This window comes from Homo sapiens, chromosome 5 (genome assembly GCF_000001405.40).
Source record: "Homo sapiens chromosome 5, GRCh38.p14 Primary Assembly".
NCBI lineage: Eukaryota > Metazoa > Chordata > Mammalia > Primates > Hominidae > Homo > Homo sapiens.
In genome coordinates, this window is record NC_000005.10 from 68,148,127 (window position 1) to 68,162,436 (window position 14,310).

At 40.5% G+C, this 14,310-nt stretch overlaps 2 pseudogenes, besides 1 other annotated feature; both read right to left on the reverse strand.

Moving 5' to 3' along the window:
* Nucleotides 1,012–1,061: an enhancer, noted in NCBI's record as "active region_22629". NCBI's record gives its function as "activates an Ori minimal core promoter by ATAC-STARR-seq in GM12878 lymphoblastoid cells {active_cell/tissue: GM12878}" and the evidence as "EXISTENCE:reporter gene assay evidence [ECO:0000049][PMID:35858748]".
* RNU6-1232P (RNA, U6 small nuclear 1232, pseudogene) lies at nucleotides 10,935–11,020 on the reverse strand (annotated as a pseudogene).
* EEF1B2P2 (eukaryotic translation elongation factor 1 beta 2 pseudogene 2) lies at nucleotides 11,049–11,851 on the reverse strand (annotated as a pseudogene).

Consider the following 14,310-nt stretch of genomic DNA (forward strand, 5'->3'; position numbering starts at 1 on the left):
CTCAAAGTTATTCTTACACTCCTCCCCCAGGTAAGGCTTGCTTTTTCTAGCTGGACATTTCTGCTAGTCGTTTCTCACCATTCCAGGGTGAAATGACAAGAAGTAAGAGAGCCTGAAAGTAAGAACTTGACTCTACTGTCTTAAGATAGCTTTACACTCTGTAGGTATGACAAGTATTTAAAGCTTACATTTTAACTTAGTGGCAGGATGACCAACTTACCCCGGGTTTCCCAGGACTTTCTTGGTTTTAAAACTGAAAGTCTCATGTCTCTGAAACACCCTAAGATCTGGGCAATACAGGATGGCTGGTCTTCCTACTCAAGGAACACTGTTATTGCCTTTTGGAGGCATCTCCCTCACCGATGGAGATATCTCACCTGCATTCCCCTGATGCATACAATGATGTACTCTTAGGAGCACTCTGCCATTCTTCCTCCTGGGAAACTTGCAGTTCACCCTCATCTTTTAACTGCTAAAGTCTCGTGCCCATCTGCATCGACTATCGTGCATATGCATGACTGCTCTGGTTTGAATGTGTGCTTCCTCCAAAATACATGTTGAAACTTAATCTCCAGCATGGTAGTGTTAAGAGGTAGGGTCTTTTGTGAAGTGATTAAATCATGATATCTCCTCCTTAACTAATGGGTTAATGCCCTTACAAAAGAGGTTTCAAATCCCAGCACTTTGGGAGGTCAAGGCAGGCAGATCACCTGAGGCTGGAGTTCAAGACCAGCCTGACCAAAATGGAGGAACCCTGTCTCTACTAAAAATACAAAATTAGCCGGGTGTGGTGACACCTGTAGCCCCAGCTACTCAGGAGGCTGAGTCAGGAGAATCGTTTGAACCCACGAGGTGGAGGTTGCAGTGAGCCAAGATCACGCCATTGCACTCCAGTCTGGGCAACAAGAGCAAAATTCCATCTCAAACAAAAAAAAGAAAGAGGTTTCAGAGAGTGTGTGCCTCTCTTGCCCTTCCTTTTTCCACCATGTGAGGACATAGCAACAAGGCACCATCTTGGAAGCAGAGAGACCAGATGCTCAGCATACACCAAACCTGCCAGCACCTTGATCTTAGATTTTCAGCCTCCAGAACTGTGAGAAATAAATATCTATTGTTTATAAATGACTCAGTCTCAAGTATTGGTGTTACGGCAGCACAAATGGACTAATGACCTCACAAAACTTTCTCTCTCTCTCTCTCTCTATCTCTATCTGTCTCCCCTGCATGGCTCACATCTGCTGCAGGAAAATCACTCACACATATTTTGCCTTGACAAACTCTGAGCATGCAAACCCAACCCACATGGCCCACACTCCCATTGCTTCACTATCAGTAGCCAGTCCAACTGTTGCCCCTGGTTCTCAGGCGAAAGTGAAACACTGTTCCTGGTGTCTGCCACTCAGCAAGGCCACAAATCAAACTCTCAAAAGTACTGCTATGGAAGGCTCTTCTCTCTAGGCCTGATGTTGGTGGGAAATGCAACATACAGCACAGTTTTATCCGAAGAAATTATCTTCACAATCATAGCTCTATTTCAGTTTATTTTTTGCCAACAGCCTACCATTGCATATCCTCAGTCTGGCTAAGAAATTTAAGGCTCATGAGACTGGTTTCTGAGTGTTTCCATTGAAGATTTCTATTTTTATACGGCACTCACGTTGGTATCTGAATATCTAATATCTGTCATCTTAGAGTTTTAGCTGAAAGTGTCAGCTTAGTATCTTATTTCTATGCTTACATATGCATAGAATAGCACTGGAAAGACTATGAAAAATAGCAATTGCTTCCAGAGTGGGGAAGTAACTGGCAGAGAAAGTAAAGGAAGAAGACTCACTTTTCACATTTTACAATCTTGTATCATTTGAATTTACACACTGTGCATATATTACCTGTGAAAACACTGAAGTGAGTTAATGTTTCTAAAAAGGGAAAGGTAGAATACTCATGATTAAACCTGTATAAATATAATTGCCAAATTTTGATAAAAATACCCACTAAATTAATAATAATTAATAAATGTGCTTCCATGCAGGAATAGACAGATGAATCAATAAAATGGAATAAATACAAAGTACCAAAACAAGCCTTAGGTTACATACAAACTTACTGTTCGATAAGGTGCACCTCAAATCAACAGGGCAAGATGGATTATTTAGTAAGTGGTGCCTAAGCAATAGGCCAGCCATTTGGATAAACTTAAAATGCGGTTTATGGCTCACTCATAAACCAAACTAATTTCAAATTGATCAAAAATTTTAATGAAAGAAATAAAATCATAATAGTAGTAGATAAAAATACAACTGAAAGTATTACAATCTTAACGTGGGCAAGGACAAGTATGATACAAATAGAGAGGCTATAAAGGAGAAGTGAGGTAATTACATAAAAATGAAAACCTTCAAAATGTCCCAAAATATAAATAATGAAAACAAATAAAAAGATCACGCACACATAATCTATAAGACTATATACAATAATGTTAACAGTAGTTTATGTTTTCATGGTAGTATTACACATGATTATAATTTTTTTATTTCCTTGTTTTTTCTTGAAACTAATATGCAATATTTAGCAACAAACTTATTTTAAATTACATCGAAAGTAATGAGCGATGCAACAGCCAAAAGACTCACTGTAGAAACAGTATTTTCCAGTAAAATATGAAGATAAAATACATTTGCTCAGGTAAAGGAAATGTCTTTTTTTTTTTTTTTTTTTTTTTTTTGAGACAGAGTCTCACTGTGTTGCCCAGGCTGGAATGCAGTGGCATGATCTCGACTCACTGCAACCTCCAACTCCTAGGTTCGAGGGATTCTCCTGCCTCAGCCTCCCGAGTAGCTGGGATTACAGGCATGCGCCACCATGCCCGGCTAATATTTGTATTTCTAGAAGAGACAGGGTTTCCCCATGTTGGCCAGGCTGGTCTTGAAACCCTGACCTCAGGTGATCCGCCCATCTCGGCCTCCCAAAGTGCTAGAAATACAGGCTTGAGCCTGCGCCCAGCCGGAAATGTCTTTATAGCAGGTTATTTACCCCAGTGGGCCTATTCCTAGAGCTTGCCGTTTCTCATAATGGAGAAAGGGCTGAAGCTTGAATCCTTTTATGTGCTTACTTTCTTTGAGCTGATGTTAATAGAATGATGTCCACAATAACATAGGAGACAGGATCTGTTGATGAATCCGAAATTGGAAGCTCTGGTATAAGCACCTCCCAACAGAATGCTATTGTGGAGGGTGTATGCACTCTAATTGACTTATTCTTTCACACGCAGGTTCCGTTTTTCTTATTCCAGCCTTATAGAAGAGGACAAGGGAGATATTTTAGCTAGAAAGTCAGAAAAGGAGAAATGATGATTCCTCTACCTTAAGAAGTCAGCATTTCCAGTATTCAGAAATTCTAACAAATACTATATTCACAACAGAAAAGTAACCTATGTGATAAAGTACTAATAAGGACGACAAAACAGATATGAACATGCTACATTAATCGCAGTGACAGTGACATTTACTGAGTGCCTATTATGTGCCAGCTGCTGTGCTGTATGATTTATAAACATTATCCTTAGCCAGAAGTAGTTTCTTAAAAAACAAACTTCTTTACTAATTACTTTTCAAAAAGTTAATTCCATAAAAATTAGATTTGGGGCCTGTCCATCACATTATCCTGAAAATTAGTGCTATTGAGTACAAACATAAATAATTACTAAGGTCCTAATACCAATTATAACTTCCCTAAGGAATTTTCGGGCTATAAATGAAGCTCTTTGGGACTATGTAGTTTTCCATAGTGAAAACAAAGTTTATAGCGAAAACAAACGGGTCAAACACGTAGATTCCTACAAGGGGCTGGGAGATGATGATGGTGATGGTGATGATGATGATGATGATGGTGATGCTGACAATAATGATGATGCTAGCTAGTACTTAAGGAACCCTCACTGTATGTCAAACACTCTTCCCAGTGTTTTACATGTATGAATTAATTTGATCTACCCAACAACTCTATGAGGAGTTACAACTATTAACTGTTTTAAGAAAATGGAACTGAAACATAAAGAAATGTTAAGACTTATCCAAGATCATGCAACTAGCAAACGACAATACTGGTAATTGAATGCAGACAACCTGACTCTAGAGTTCTTATACAATACACTGTGCTGGCCGGGCACGGTGGCTCACGCCTGTAATCCCAGCACTCTGGGAGGCCGAGGCAGGTGGATCACCTGAGGTCAGGAGTTCGAGACCAGCCTGACCAGCATACCGAAGCCCTGTCTCTACTAAATACAAAAAATAATTAGCTGGGTAAGGTGGTGCATGCCTGTAATCCCAGCTACTTGGAAGGCTGAGGCGGGAGAATCGCTTGAACCCGGGAGGTGGGGATTGCAGTGAGCCAAGATTGAACCCCATTGCACTCCAGCCTGGGCAACAAGAGCAAAACTCCATCTCAAAAAAAAAAAAAAAACCAATATACTGGGCCTTGGAGTCTGACCCCCCATCTCAGAGCCCAGTAGGGTAGTGGGAAGATCTACTTATCAGATTTTTAGAAATAGGTCTGCCTCCTTTTACTAGCATATCAAAATGAATAACTGAAACAATATTTGGACAAAATTACCCCTCACTCAAATACGGAATTAAACAAAACTTGAAGAGGGGGTGCCTAAGTTGCTGAGGTAATTGCCTTGGGGTTTTTTTAGCCTCTGCTAGAGGACACTGACCTAGAAGGCCGCATTCTCTTGAGTGCCTGCTTTCTCTGTGACTTTAGGGCCAGGTTTTCACTTTATGTCATTGTTCTTACCCTGGGAAAGCTAGTTTGCCTCTTGTCTAAATCAGTAAGGCAGTGACTGAAATGACAGCATTGTAGAAATATAGAAAATACACACTAGTATACAGAGTAGAAATATGAATTTTCTACACACCCATATGTTGTCTCCTAAAACACAGTTGAGTCCATGTCATGTAATGATTAAGGACATGGACTCTGCAAGGTAGATAGAACTGGCTTTGAATGGTGGCCCTCAACTTATTAGCTTGAGACCTTGAGGAAGTGACTTAACCTCCCAAAGCCCCAGTTTTCCCATCTTCAAGATCGGGATAATACATACCTACTTCACAGAGTTGTTAAGAGGGCCAGATGAGGTAACATATCTAGTTTAGTTACTAGAGCAGAGTAAGTGCCATCATTGTTGGCTGCTGTTATTTGCATCATCGTCACCTTCAATACCTTCATTATAATTAGCCAACACCTACTCTGTTGTCAGCATTCTTCCACATTCAAAGTGATTTCCAGTGTGGCTGTCTTCCTTGCTTTTCATTATTAACTAGAGTTGGCCCTCAGTATCCAGGGGACGGGATTGGTTCCGGGATCCTCTCAGATACCAAAACCTGGGACGCTCAAGTCTGTGATATAAATTGGCATAGTGTTTGCATCAAACCTATCCACATTCCTCCCTTATACTTTAAATCATCTCTAGATAACTTATAATATCTAATACAGTATAACTGCTATGTAAACAGCTGTTACACTATATTGGCTTTTTGTTTGCACTTTTATTGTTGTATTTTTTTTCTTGAATATTTCGACCCACTGTTGATCAAAATCCTCTAAATTTGTGTATGGAGGGCCAAGTATAAAGATAATGAGAGGTCAAGATGCAAAACAAAGCGTCTCATCAAGCTATTGAATTTTCCATCTAAAGCACCTTGTAAATCTAAGGGAACAAAGAAAGGAGAAACAAGACAAGATGATAATGAGGAAAGTCCATCCCACAGAGGATCTTGTGGCCCAACATCTTGCAATAAATGCAAAGCACATAAAATGGAATGTCCCCTTATGTCACAACGAAAAACTGTAACATAAATACTTTTGTCAGTTGGTTTTATTCTACAGATGTTTTTGAGAATTTGTTGTTGAAACAGCCAATTCACTCCTGAATTAAAAAAAAAAAAAACTTTTGGCAATACTCAAAGTGTCAACTAATTAGATCCAAATTACAGCTGAACATTTTGAAATATATGCATCACCCACGTGAATACTGATTGAATTTATTATAAATAGAATTTCAATTGCTGTGAAAGAAGGATACAATGGCATGGGAGTAAACTAATTTGTGAGCTTTTATTAAACACCTTATTAAGAGCTCCCCTCACAAGGGACAGTAAACAATGGATTAAATGACGGTTATTCCAATGCTGTGCTCAGGGAAGGCACTCTGTGTTGAGTCACAAAACCACTGGAGGTTTTCTTTCATATGGAACTTGATTCTAATCCTATCTTGGCTACTAAATTTGTAAAGCTTAAAAGTTGCTTATCCTTTTTATAAACTGGGCCCCCAACCTGTCGGCCTAATTCTCTCTGCAAACTTCTTTAAAACTGAATGTGACTGATTTGACGTGATGTCACCAATTTTCGTTCATGGTAGCCACAGTTTTTCCTTTGACCTCAAAGGGAGATTTCACCCAGTTGAGCTACCCGCTCGCTTTGTAGATGGTCAGTAACCAGAGCCTTGATTTGACCTTTTGGGATTTCAGTTTCTGTCTTTGAACAATATGAACTTTCAGTGAGTCATTTGCCAAAGTATATCATGGTATGTATTAAAGATGACAGAGTTCTAGACTGTTTATAAAAGTTTAAAAATGTGGCCAGGCGTGGTGGCTGATGCCTGTAATCCCAGCACTTTGGGAGGCTGAGGCAGGTGGATCATGAGGTCAGGAGACCGAGACCATCCTGGCCAACATGGTGAAATCCCGTCTCTACTAAAAATACAAAAATTAGCCAGACATGGTGGTGCATGCCTGTAGTCCCAACTACTCAGGAGGCTGAGGCAGGAGAATCCCTTGAACCAGGGAGGCAGAGGTTGCAGTGAACCGAGATCGCACCACTGCACTCCAGCCTGGCGACCAAGCAAGACTCCATCTCTAACTAACTAAATAAATAAATAAATAACAAAAAATGTAAACAACCAAACAGACATATCTGTCTGTTCATTATAAGGAAGAACTCTATAACTTTTAAAACCAGCCAGCAGTGAATCTACCTGTTCTGTTAGGTAGTGAATGCCCCATCACTGGACTCTCCCAGCCCAAGACCATTAAACTACCTGCAAAAGGTTTGAAGAAGAGGCTTTGGTATAGACTGGTATGCTTATTAATTTCCTAGGGCTGCTGTAACAAAATACCACAAACTCGGTGGCTTAAAACAACAGAAATGTATTGCATTACAGTTCTAGAAGTCCAGAATTGGCAGAGCCATGATCCCTCTGAAGGTTCTAGGAAAGAATCCTTCCCTGCCACTTCCTAGTTGCTGGCAGTCCTAGAAATGCTGGGCATTGGCCGGGCGCAGTGGCTCACGCCTGTAATCCCAGCACTTTGGGAGGCCGAGGCGGGCAGATCACGAGGTCAGGAGATCGAGACCATCCTGGCTAACGCGGTGAAACCCCATCTCTACTAAAAATACAAAAAAATTAGCTGGGCGTGGTGGCGGGTGCCTGTAGTTCCAACTACTCGGGAGGCTGAGGCAGGAGAATGGAGTGAACCTGGGAGGCAGATCTTGCAGTGAGCCGAGATCGCACCACTGCCCAGCGTGGGAGACAGAGCGAGACTCCCTCTCAAAAAAAAAAAAAAAGAAAAGAAATGCTGGGCATTCTTGGCTGGTAGCTGTTTCACTCCAATCTCTGCTTCTGTCTTTATGTGGCCTTCTTCCCTCTGTGTGTGTGTGTCTCCAAATCTGTCAGTCCTTATAAATACACCCGGGATTGGTTTAGGGCCCATCCTAATCCAGTATGACTCCATTTTAACTTGATTACATCTGCAAAGACCCAATTTTTAAATGAAATCACATTCATAGGTATCAGGGGTTAGGACTTCAACATACCGCGGGATGAGGAGTAATAGTTGGGAAGATATAATTAAACCGCGCTTAGGTATGACTAGTTGACTGATATGATGATCCCACCTATGGTGAGATTTTAGGAGTTATATAAATCCTCTCTTACCAAAATGATGTCATTAATTTGTCCAACAACCATTAACTAGCTTCATTCTCTAGTACTATTCTATTTTTCAAAAACATGACATCTTACTAACGCTTTAAGTCTTGTATTTTATGGATGCTTGAGGAACCTTAGACAATGCCTTGAGTCAAAGCCCAGAGTACAGGGTGCTATAATTACTGTGTCTTTTACTTCATGTTCACATTCGCTGGCCTCACATTTGCTGTGTATTCGGAAATACAAATACAGATTACAATACCAAACATGAGTTATATGTTGAACATGAGATAGAATGAATTTCTAAAACTCTATTAGTTTTAATGATAAACTAGAGCTTAAAAATTAGCCCTATATTTTCCCGTAGAAAATTACAAGCTGAGGGCCGGGCGCAGTGGCTCACGCCTGTAATCCCAGCACTTTGGGAGGCCGAGGCGGGCAGATCACGAGGTCAGGAGATCAAGACCATCCTGGCTAACACAGTGAAACCCCGTGTCTACTAAAAATATAAAAAGTTAGCCGGGCATAGTGGTGGGTGCCTGTAGTCCCAGCTACTCAGGAGGCTGAGGCAGGAAAATGGAGTGAACCTGAGAGGCAGAGCTTGCAGTGAGCTGAGATTGTGCCACTGCACTCCAGCCTGGGCGACAGTGCAAGACTCCGTCTCAAAAAAAAAAAAAAAGAAAATTACAGACTGAGGCCGGGTGCGGTGGCTCACACCTGTAATCCCAGCACTTTGGGAGGCCAAGGCAGGTGGATTACCTGAGGTCAGGAGATTGAGACCAGCCTGGCCAACATGGTGAAACCTTGTCTCTACTAAAAATACAAACATTAGCCGGGTGTGATGACACCTGCCTGTAGTCCCGGCTACTCAGGAGGCTGAAGCAGGAGAATCGCTTGAACCCAGGAGGCAGAGGTTGCAGTGAACTCAGATTGCATCACTGCACTCCAGCCTGGGTGACAGAGCAAGACTCAGTCCCTCCAAAAACAAAAACAAAAAATTACAAACTATTCTCTCTAGTGAATCAGAAAACAGCTTTCATGACTTAAACCTAGTATCTTACTCTAATCTGTATGCATCTTGGCCTTAAAATGTAGCATTTTGGATACATACACTTAGGTGATTTGGCTTCATTGTTTTGTTTTGACAGGCAGCTTTTGTATCTGTCTTCTATAATTTAGTCTAGGGCTTCTCAACCTCCACACTATTGATGTTTTGCGCTTGATAACTCTGTTGTGGGAGCTGTTCTGTGCATTATAAGATGTTCAATAGCATCCCTGGCCTCTACACACTAGATGCCAGCAACACCTTACCTGCCACCTCCACCCAATGGGACAACCAAAAATGTCTGTGGATATTGCCCAGTGTCCCTGGAGGGGAGGTTGGGCAATATCATCCCAAATTAGGAATCACTGCATATTTGATGAAAATTAACTGCATTTTTTTAAATAGTGAGAAAAGTAGCATTGTTACATCATTGCAAAAATGTTGATGTCTGTGTGCACATGTATGTTTATTGCAGCACTATTCACAATAGCAAAGACTTGGAACCAACCCAAATGTCCATCGGTGATAGACTAGATAAAGGAAATGTGGCACATATACACCATGGAGTACTGTGCAGCCATAAAAAAGAATGAGTTCATGTCTCTTGCAGGGACATGGATGAAGCTGGAAACCATCATTCTCAGCAAACTAACACAGGAACAGAAAACCAAACACGGCATGTTCTCACTCATAAGTGGGAGTTGAACAATGAGAATGCATGGACACAGGGAGGGGAACGTCACACAGTGAGGCCTGTCAGGGGTGGGGGGAAAGGGAGGGAAAGCATTAGGACAAATACCTAATGCATGCAGGGCTTAAAACATAGATGACAGGTTGATGGGTGCAGCAAACCACAATGGCACATGTATACCTATGTAACAAACCTGCACATTCAGCACATGTATCCCAGAACTTAAAGTAAAATTTTAAAATAAATAAATAAAAACCTTCATGTCTTGCTTAATAGAAGACAGTTGGATTCTCATGTCTACTACTTCTTTCATTCTGCTGATATAGTTGGAAAATGGAGGAGTATTTTAATAGCCTTTTTAAATAGTTGTGGATATTTTTCTTTAATATTACCCCAAAATCACCAAGTAGTAGTTTCTTAAACGTTGCTTGTCAAATTAAAATTCTTCTGTCTATCTTTCACTTTGAATGGATCTCTTACCCATGCATTGATCATTTGGAAAATACTGGTTCAGTGATTTACGTTGTTCTTCCCAAATTTGATGTGTTTTATTATCAATGTTATTATTATTATTATTATTTTAATATTTTAAAAAATTACAATTGTTAGCTGGGCACAGTCAGGTTTACCTGTAGTCCCTGCTACTTGAGAGGCTTAGATGGGAGAATCGCTTGAGCCCAGGAGTTCTAGTCCAGCCTGGGCAACATAGTGAGACCCCTTCTCTAAAAACATTTTTTTTTTCTAAATCACATTGTTAACATCATCACCAATCTCATCAGCAAAGCCTTAAGTATTAGGATGTTGTCAAGCCCACAGTGGTGAATACGAATTTTCTGATATTCTATTTTTTACTTGAAAGCTTAAATTTTATCACTGGCAACAAATACCGCCAGTTGTTTTCCTTGAAGTGACAGACTCACTTCATTAATTTTTGAGAAAATGTCTGACAAATACTCAAGTATGAATAACTATAATTTGTCTGTCAGTTGTTCTTTCAAGTAAAAAAAAAAAGTGTATTGTGAAAAATGGCTCTTCAGCTTGTATCTCATACAATTAAACATGCACTTTTCCTCACACCGACTGTCATACTTCAGCATGCAGCCACAGCGTTTTCTGTGCAGTTCCCATTTTGTCATACAGAGTATTTTTAAAGTGTACATAATGGTTGAGATTTAAGAAGTTTTTTTAATGCTGTTTCAAAGACATTCTTTTTTAAAACTATAGACGGCTTCACAAATGTGTATGCCATCCTTGCATAGGGGCATTTCAATTTTAGTATATGTGCTGCTGAAGCGAGCACTCAAAGACATTCTTTTTTTTTTTTTTTTATCTATCAAGCTTTTATTTAAATGCCATAATCCAGGATGGATTTTAGATCTTGTTGAAAGCAGCCACATCCATGGACTGCACATAGTCCTCAAAAGCAGTGATCTGCTCCTCCAGAATATCTGTTCCAACTTTATCATCTTCAACTACACACTGTATTTGGTTTCTTAATTCTGTATCCCACTGGAACTAGTTTAGATGAGCCCCAGACTAAGCCGTCTGCTTGAATGCTTCTGACGCACTCCTCTAATTTCGCCAGATCTGTCTCCTTATCCCAAGGTTTCACATTTAGTAAGATGGAAGACTTGGCAACAAGTGCAGGGTTTTTGGCTAACTTTGATTCATATTGTGCAAGACTTTCTTCCCTTAGCCTCTTTGCTTCTTCACTTTCCTCCTCATCATCAGATCCAAAGAGATCAATGTCATCATCATCTTTACTATCTGTACCTCCACTTCCTGTAGCGTCTTCCACATTGGCAGGACCATACTTGCCCAAAGCTTTCTTCACTCCTGGCAGGCTGGCCTTTTCCTTTTCATAAGACTTGACATGATTATACCAACGTAGGGCATGACACAAGCCAGCAGGCTGTGGGCCGGACACGGCTTCAAATATTGCCACATCTGCTTGTGATGGCACATACCCCTCAATGTAGCTCTTGTCCACCAGGTAATCGTTGAGCACCTGGAGGCCCGCGGGACTTTTCAGGTCTCCGAAACCCATGGTGTCGGCTGTATCTGAGAGCTGGGGAGCAGCAGAAAGAGAGCGCGCAACTTGTGGGCACCCCGCGCTGAAGAGAGGAAAAAGCTCAACGACATTCTTAAGTGAAACAGTGAAACTGGTTTGTTTTTTTTTTTTTTTCTGCAAGAGCCTTGTGGTGAAGAATACAGTATCTGCTGGCATAGTTTTATGCTACTGTTATGGTTTACGCTAAAGCACAAACACCATTGATGTAAATATCAACACAATGAGAAAGGCTATTATTAATAATACTAATATTATTAATACTAAGGCAAACAATGTCTTAGTATTACTATAAAAACTAGTTTTGACCTTGGGGACCCCCAGAGGCCCAAAGACTACACTTTGAGAACTGCTGGTCTATGAAGATCATTCCGCTCCACACTTAATTTGAACGATATAGAAAATATCTGCTGACAGACTTGCACGATAGTAGATACACTTCATCAAAGTAGAATTTAGTATATTCTAGGAACTGCATGTAGCATTGCAGGAACATACCTCTCACTACCAATCAAAATTGTTGAAAGACTGCTGGGCACGGTGGCTCACGCCTATAATCCCAGCACTTGGGAGGCTGAGGCAGGTGGACAGGTGGATCACTTGAGGTCAGGAATTCGAGACTAGCCTGGCCAACATGGTGAAAACTTGTCTCTAAAAAATACAAAAATTAGCCAGATGTGGTGGTGGGTGCCTGTAATCCCAGCTACTCAGGAGGCTGAGGCAGGAGAATCACTTGAACTCGGGAGGCGGAGGTGGCAGTGAGCAGAGATCACACCACTGAACCTCAACCTGGGTGACAGAGCAAGACTCCGTTTCAAAAAAAAAAAAAAAAAAGAAAGAAATTGTTGAAAGACTTGTTTGCTCTCTTTGTCAAGAGTCTCAGAGGTTAGAAATATTTCCACAACATTTTAGTTTGTCTCGATGGAGCTGACAATTATGTACTTTCCTATATCTTTTTTGAAACTGTTTCCACATTTGGCCTAGACCCTCTTGGAGTAATGAGTTTCAAAACCTTGTGTGTGAGCACTCCTTTCTGGGATTTGTAGAAAACTTGATTTTTTTTTTTTTTTTTTTTTTTCTCAAAGAGTAGGTCGCAGTTCCAAGGAATTTGGTAAGGAAGTGTGCATTCTCTCAATTTCTAACACAATGCCTTGTTCAAATTAGGCACTCAATAAATATTTGTTGACTATAAAACTTAACTGATTGACCTCTTTTACGATCTTGGTAGTTTTATGATCTGATGAGATGACTCTCAACCTTCATCCATCTAGACTGGAGAGGGCAATTTTTTAGACCCCTGGAACATTTGAAGGTGAAAGTAAGGCTCTTTATTGAAAACAGAGTGATTAAGGAAACATCTGCATACTGAAGAGTAAACCCGCCCCTTCCCCAAGGCCTTTCCAAAACGCTTGCTGCCGGTCTTTCATGCACACCCTACCATCAGGCAACTGAATGATTCTGTCTGAGAAAGCTGATAAGCCCAAGAGATAAATCTTAAAGATAACTGGCATTTGGGATTCCACAAAGAACCAGATGGGCCTTGTGTACAGAAAGGCCTACCATATGACAAGCCCCACCCTAAGCACACAGGAGAAAAAAGGAAGATGGTATCCCACAGAAGAAAAGAAGTGATGAGAATTTCTAGGATGATAGTCAAGGAAGTCTGGGGATAACAACTCTTCAGTAAGCCAGATTGGAATAAGAAGATGGAGTACTCCAAGAGGGATGTCTTCAAGGGGGGAAAAATGGAACATAGAAATTACCAATTAAATTTGACAACATTGAGGGGCATGTTAGACACTTGAATGGAGAATTTAGGGATAACTTATTGCTATGTGAATAGAAAATTATAAATACAAAAGAAGCAATTAACCCCTGTAAAATTTAGAAGTTATACAAGGAAAAAATGTGTTCACAGGGTACCACATGGCTCAACCGAGAACAATACTTACATGATCAAAATAATGTAAATACTGTACTCTGACTTGGCTAAAAATTGTGAAAGATTTATGTTGGGAACATAAAGATGAAGAAGTAATTGTGTGCAGTAAAGTCTAGGGATGGTAGTTATTAAAGAACTAAATCCTAATTTAATAGAGAAAATCATGTCTAAATCAAGAAGTAGCAATATAAGCATGTTTCTTCAAAAATGGAATTTAAAATCAGAAAAGCCTGAAAGTTGAAAGTAGTTCCTCTAGGTAGTGGAACTCAGGAATGGGCAGGGTTAGACAAGATTAATTCTTTTTCCTTGTAAACCTTATAGAGTGATCAAGTTAAAAAAATGCCTACATATATTACCTCAAATTACCTAATAAAAATTAAAAATAAGGCCAGGCACGGTGGCTCACGCCTGTAATCCCAGCACTTTGGAAGGCTGAGGCGGGTGGATCACGAGGTAAGGAGATCAAGACCATCCTAGTTAACACAGTGAAACCCCGTCTCTACTAAAAATACAAAAAATTAGCCACGCATGGTGGCAGGCTCCTGCAGTCCCAGCTACTTTGGAGGCTGAGGCTGGAGAA